Source organism: Homo sapiens, chromosome 18 (genome assembly GCF_000001405.40).
Source record: "Homo sapiens chromosome 18, GRCh38.p14 Primary Assembly".
Classification (NCBI taxonomy): Eukaryota; Metazoa; Chordata; class Mammalia; order Primates; family Hominidae; genus Homo; species Homo sapiens.
In genome coordinates this window covers 25,593,049-25,600,162 of record NC_000018.10, presented here as the reverse complement: position 1 = coordinate 25,600,162, position 7,114 = coordinate 25,593,049, and the positions used below count along the sequence as shown (strand labels likewise).

The window sequence follows — 7,114 nt, the reverse complement described above, 5'->3', positions numbered from 1 at the left end:
CAGTTTTAAAAAAATACACAGTAAAGGGTTCTTCTGAATTTTCAGATACTTTGCATCTCAAAGGAGACTTAAGGGTAGCTGGGTGAGCGTTCCAAGAGTATACTGTCTCCTGAAAGACCTTAAGAAATTCTCAGGTGGGTCCAGAATACTTTGTGCATTAGGGTGAATAAGGGACTTTGTCATGTCCTTCTTCTAATACAACTGTTTGCCCTTGTGAAAGGTCCTAACGGTGAGGAGATTCAGGAAATTATAACCTTAAGAGCTAAGTAATAGAGATGTATCTCTAAATGAGATAAAATGGTTACAAACAAAATGTAGAATAGTAATGCCATTTTTGAGGGTTTGAGGCTGAGATTAAAGTCAATCTATCTAAGATCTGGGTAATCATTGTAGAGTTACAGTTGTCAGCTAGGAAATAGTTTTATTTTGGTTTATCTTTGTGGCTAGACATGCCTAGGAAGTTGTGAAAAGTTATGAAATTATATTTGTTATATCAGATTGGCCCCATTGCAATATGCCTTCATATCTAACCAGGAACATGTGTTATCCTCAGTTAAAAAGGTTTGTTTTGGGCAAAGTATTTGGCTAAATGTATGAGTCTGTAAAATGTTTATACTCTTTGACTAGTAATTCAAGTAATTGGAGACACAGCTAAAGATTTAAATAGAAGGACAGTTAATGGAAAATTGTTTGAGGAAAAGAAAAGCTGGGACCATTTTTTGGAGATTTCTAGTAGTGGATGACTTGTTGGAAAAAGTTGTGATACATACACATGATAGAATACTGTGTAGTCATTAAAAATGTTCAGTGGTGTAATTAACGATTAATGACATGGGAAATTGTTCCTATTATAATTAAAATATTGAGAAAGAAAAACGACATCAAAATGTATACATATATAAACATATTGTATTAATTATGTAAAAAAGTTTATAATATATATACACAGATGATATAACTATGTCTATAATGTAAACTAATATGTCTACTTTATGTATATTTCCAGGATATATATGTGTGTGTACATATATACACATATGAATAAATAAACATTTATTTGTATATTTAAAGATAATATAATTTATTTATTAACTATATATTTTGTTTATATATTATATATTTTATTTTGTATAATTTATTTCATATAGTACAACACATTAATGATATATAATATGTAATTATAAGTTATCTATAAAATAATACTTATAAATATGTAAATATCCCAGGATAACAAATTTTTGGGTGGATTTGTCTCTATTTTTCAAATTTTCAGGAATGAGCATGTGTTACTTTTACAATTCAATATTCTTATTAATTTTTAAAATATTACTAGCACCACCATGACAAATAAAGTTATAAAGTCAAGCTTTGAATACAGCTACCTCAAACTTGCATCTTTGTCTGGAGAACATTTGTATGTGTACATATGTGTGTATATTTAATGTTAGAATTTAGCAAGACTGATTGGAGCCTCATTTCTGCAAAGCCAGTTTCACTTGCTCAAGGAGAATATTCCTTGTTTATGCTGCAGGCCAAACAACTAGGTTTTGTGTTTTTTTTTTTTTTTTTAAACCTCAGGTCTATTGTGAAAATGAGCCATCTGCGGCAGCCGTGGTGTTTTTCCCAGGCTAATAGCACCTTTCATACTGAACTCTTGGGCTTTCCAGGAGCTTCTGACAGCTGCAGAATGATTATGTACATTATATATATATCTATAGATATATGTATAAATTGGTATAAGATTGTGTACTGGGGAACCCTCCATGGGTATGCACTGTGATGAATACAATACGAGGGTAGAGAATGCCCTGTGGTTTGGTTTGTAGAATGCCACATGGTAGAGCATCTCTGCTGAGCAATGCCAGGTTGTGAAAACGTTGCCTCCTGTCATAACTTCATCACCTCAGGAATGGAGGAAGATCCTCTCCTCCACAGTTTCACCCATCAACATACCATGAACCTACTATGTGCCCACCACTCTGCTATATTTCTACTCTACCATATCAAAAAGCTTTCTTAGGCAACTTTTTAACACATGAAAGAATGAATAACTATTCAGTTGAGGTCATTTCTTCCTGGTGACTGAAGGATTGATCTCTGCACCTACCTACTAGCATTGCTGAGGAGCAACGTGAATCCCCCTGCTCTAGAGAAGGAGGCAGGGTGCCCACATCCTTATCATCCAGATATTGTAAGCAATTCAATGATCAGTTCCTCTCCATCTAGGAAAACAAACATTTGCTATCACTGGTGCTATTTTATTAAAATCCCATTTCCCTGCTTTGACTCGGTCCTTCTAAAAAGCATAAGGGAAAGTCTGCACACAGGCTGTTAACGACGGCAGGAAAGAAACTTGGTGCAAATGTGGCCAAGCACGTTACAGACGCTCCTCCGTATGCAGCCCAGGGGCTTCACCTGGTTTAGCCATTTTTCTGATGCTATATTTTCCGGCTCCCTGGCATCTTTAGAGTTTTGAATTTGGCAGCCTTCCCTTTGATGGAAGGAAGCTGGAAGTACCTCCTACTAGTTTTCCTTGGCTCATCACTGTCACTCTGTGCATCGTCTAGCAGCTGAGATTGTGGGTAGCAGAGCCGTTTGGATCCTGTCCCTCTGGGGCAGCTGTAGAAATCCATAAGGTGGTCTAAAGCAAACCCCAAGTCTCCTTGGCTAGCTTGGCACTTCCACTTCACAGTGAAAAATATACCTGACAGTCCACAGAAGTATCCCTTCTGGGCCTTCTTTGTTTAAACTTAATATTTCCTGTATTAAATCTTATAACAATCACCACAAGGAAGGTTGAATGCTAAAGAATTCAGAATCAATCAAGACTCCACCAGGAAATCAAAACCTTCTGTTAAGCTGTAAAATGCGCTGGGATGAATTGGTGTCACCTGATAATATTGCACCAGAGATGCATTGTAAAGCCTGACACTCAAGGCCAAATGTCCCTTTCCACAAAAGCTACAATCCCCTCACTGCATGAAGTATATAAGTGCTAGAAGAATAGAAATAATGAGTGATTATACAGCACCTTAAAAGGGGGTTCTTTTCACTAATATTGATAGCAAAGATTCTTCATCCTTGTGACCACTTTCACTGCTCTTAGAAAAAGATTCTGCAGTGACAATGCGAAGGCAAGACAGCCCTGTGGTCGGTCACGAGTGTCTAATAGCGGGGTTCTTCTTCTTTATTTTTTTAAAGTGTAATTCCAAGATTAGTAACTATAGATTAAAGTAACTGCAGGATCTCAGACAGTGAGGACCAGTGGATCTCACAGTGGCTGAACACAAGGTCAAAGTCTTGATGGGCAAACACAATACCTAGTTCCCAGGTAACGGAAAAACATTTTACCTTTAAATCAATGGGTAAGCAGAACCAAGAAGTTTTCACAGCCAAAAAAAAAAAAAAAAAAAAAAAGAATTACCATCAGAATTCCTCATAAGCCATAAATGTTATGCCAAAAAGACAGTGATCCGGTTTACGTGTATTTCCTCATCCTAGGAAATTCCAGAAAAAATAATTTAAGGAACAGTGATGAGGCAAGCAACATAATTCTGAGTCTTCCTGAATTTAGGAATTCTGCTACATGAATAGATAATGCCATAGAAAACACGCTTTTATTTCAAAAAGCATAGTCAATACTTTTTAATTATGGCTTTTGTGGGTTTCTTTTAAATGTGATGTTTGGGTATGGGACCTGCAGGTTTCTTCCATGTGTTAGACCAAAGAACATGAGATATAGATTAACAGCTCAGAGGCAGTGATTGCTAAATGTTTGTCCAAGTTTCCTGTGTTGAAGACCTTTGTTAGCCTGGGTTGACTGCTTTTAAGTAGAGCCTGCTTTTCCTTTGACAGCCCAGACCTCATTTTTATTCTCACTTCTAGGAAGAACTATTTGGCTTTCTTGACCTTTGCTGGGCTTTGTTAATGGGGTTGGCATGTTGTTTGGGGCTGGTAGGTAATTTTAGTAGTGTACAGGTGGTTAATTCCATTGCCAGGGATGTGGAACTCTCTACATGGTCAGTTTGCAGCGTGCTCTCCTGATATATACACAGAGTACACTGCAGAAATGCCTACCTACTCTCAACGCAGCATGCAAGCTGTTAGCAATCTTCTTTACATTACCTGAGGCCCACTCCATCACCCCTTTCACTTAATATGATAGATTGCAGGACGTAATATAGAAAAATGTAGTGCGTGTGGCATATAAACTCACAGTGCATATCGGATTTAATATATAATGCACAGAAGCCACTCTATAATACATAGTCAAAAAGGCTGCAAGCTGCTGTATTGATGCCGTGCCCAGTTTAGGAGAATAAGGCAGGTTTCCATTGCCAGAAAAGAGCATAGTATTCAATTTCTCATCCAGTATAGAATATAAATAAAACATGGTGTACAGTAGTACCAAACTGCATGAAATGATTTCCCTTAGTACATAAACTTATAGCACCCCAGTCTTTGCTTCAAGTTGAATTTTCCCAGTTCTCTCAGATGGCAACAGGGAATTATATGACCTTCTACAGCAAGAACTTCCCACTTAACAGATTCCGGGGCTCTGCTGGGCCCTATGCTAATGGACGGCCATTAACCATGTTGGAGCTCCCTAGAACTCCCTGGAGCTTTACAGGCTGAGTTCCTGGATTTCTCCAGAGTCAGAAGTTGACAGGCAGCTGTCAGTCAATTGAAAATGTCTTAAAGCTATACTCTGTAGCAAATAAAAGTGCTCAGTGTTTATAATGAGAAAAGACGATTGTGCCAACATGAATATGATTTAATAAAAACATTAACCCAGCAGATGTAGTCTTCAAGTCTAGTTATCTATGTAGAAATGCATACACAGTATGCATTTCCTCTTGTTTATAGAGAGGTATTGCTTAATTTTGCTTTGTAGTTTGTAAGGATGATCAGGCTGTTCTGCTTTTATAATTGTACTTTAAAATGGGTAGCTCTTAGCTATAGAACTCCCCAATTTCCATGAAATTTGGTGCAAATTAGACACTGAAGAAAATATATTCTAGAGAAAAATGTAAAATATATCAACATTACTGCTCTCATCGGGTTATGTGGTCTAATGGAAAAAAAAGAACGAATACCAGAAACCTCTGAGTTTAGTTTTATCTTTGTTCTTCCTCAGTGTTCTGGGTAATTTATTTTGTTTTTATTTACTTCATCCAACCCAAAATAAGTGTGGTTGGTAAACTTATGCCTATTCCACTGGATCTGATGACTAAAGTTTGGATGCCACTTAGGAGTGAGAATGCAGCAGTTCATTTGAGATGAAGACAGGAGTCTGTTCCTTAGGGCTTATACAGAGATGTAAGTCAATCATTCTTTTGAGTCTAGCTCTCATGCTGATTCCAAACTTAGTTGTGAAGTCATCGTTCAGAGGGAATTTTAAGTGGCTACTGCTATAACTTTTTAATCCAAGTGACAAAAGTACAATGTCTTTTACCTTTTGTATCACAAACCTTTTGTCATTCCTGACCCTAAAATACAGGAAATAAATATTGCTGGGAAGAAAGGAATTAAAAACTGTTCTATCAAATCTGGGACTTTCACTGACAGAGGAGATAAAGAACCTACATGAGTACTGGGATCCTGATCATTATTCTGACTCATCGCTGATAACATCAACCACCAGACCTGCTTAGTTACAGTCATGGCCTTTTCATGGTCAGTTCTTAAATTCCAAATGTCTCTCTCTTTTTTAATTTTGAAATAATTTCAGACATAGCAAATGTTGCAAAAATAGTGCAAAGAATTCCTAAGTATCCTTCACCCATATTATGTTAACTTTTTACCACATTTACTTCACGATTTGCTCTTTTCATCTATATTATAATTACTATTCTTATTAGGCCTAAAAAATATTGTTTTTTCTGATTCATTTGAGAATAAGGTGCCATTATCTGATTTACAGACCTTATTGAAAGTTTTCCAATTGTCCTAATAAAAACAGCTTTACAGCAAAAGAGAGAAGAAAATTCTGGCTCAGGATCCAATCTGAGGTCATACATTGCATTTTGTTTTGTCTTTCGCATCTCTTTGACTCTAGAACATTTCCTTACTCTGTCTTTCATGACCTTGTCACTTTTCATACAATGTGCCTTACTGTGGGTTTTCTCAATGTTTCCCCATCATCAGCCACATGACTCTTAAATGAGATTTTTCAAAGAGAAGGTTTGGAGGAAGTTCTTATTTTTCTTAGAGCATGTGATATTAACAGGGTCTAGGGTAGAAAGTTATGAAAACCAAAGCATGGATAGATTAAGCCACAATATAAGATAGAAATAGGGTCACTCACAGAATTGTCTTCATAATTAGGTCTGAAATAGCCCCAACCCTCAAAGCACTGCATGGAATTTAGTATTTTGTCAAGACAATAGGCAGTGAAGAGACAGCTTCTGAGCATGGGTACCTGAGCTTAGAATTTGGTATGGAAATGCATAACTCACAAATGAAGGGCAATGCATATGTGCTTTTGGTTTTTTGCATCACCTTTTATTATCTTAAGACTGAAAAGTTAATAACCCAGTGTGTAATCATGCCATTATCAGTTTACATTGTAGTAAAGCCCATTCAAATGATGATTACATATGTTAATGAGTCTCGTTATAATGCACTACACAGTACATTACCTTCAATAAATATAATTGTTTATGCACTTTAATGAGGGTATATAATGCCCCAAAACTAATGGTATTGACTGAATTGTGATTCATTGCTCTAAAACTTTGCCATTAGGAAAGGAAATCTTACAAAACCTTTTATGTTTACCTAACTTTCTTTTTGCCCCTAAAAGCTGCCACTCATCTCTCCCTCCCCTTGTTACAAGAAGAAAATAGCTCCAAGACGCTTCCACAACATTCCCTGTCAATGCTTTTCTCAACCTGAAGAAGCAGGAGGTGGGTTCATTTAAAGGGTTTAATGAAGATCATTATGTTTACCCCTTAGTAAGGTTTAATGCATTATCTGGCAGCAAAACTGATGCCACGTCAGAATTTTGGCTTCAAATCAAATAGCAAGGAATAAAAACATTGTTAAATGACACACTAGGAATGGAAAATAAGGCCAGGGACAGCATTTGGCCTAGGGTCCTGCATCAGGCCAG

General features: G+C 36.7%; 1 annotated feature.

The window, feature by feature from the left end:
* Positions 5,532-5,732: a silencer, noted in NCBI's record as "peak3083 fragment used in MPRA reporter construct". NCBI's record gives its function as "represses an SCP1 promoter by STARR-seq MPRAs in K562 erythroleukemia cells {active_cell/tissue: K562}" and the evidence as "EXISTENCE:reporter gene assay evidence [ECO:0000049][PMID:32103011]".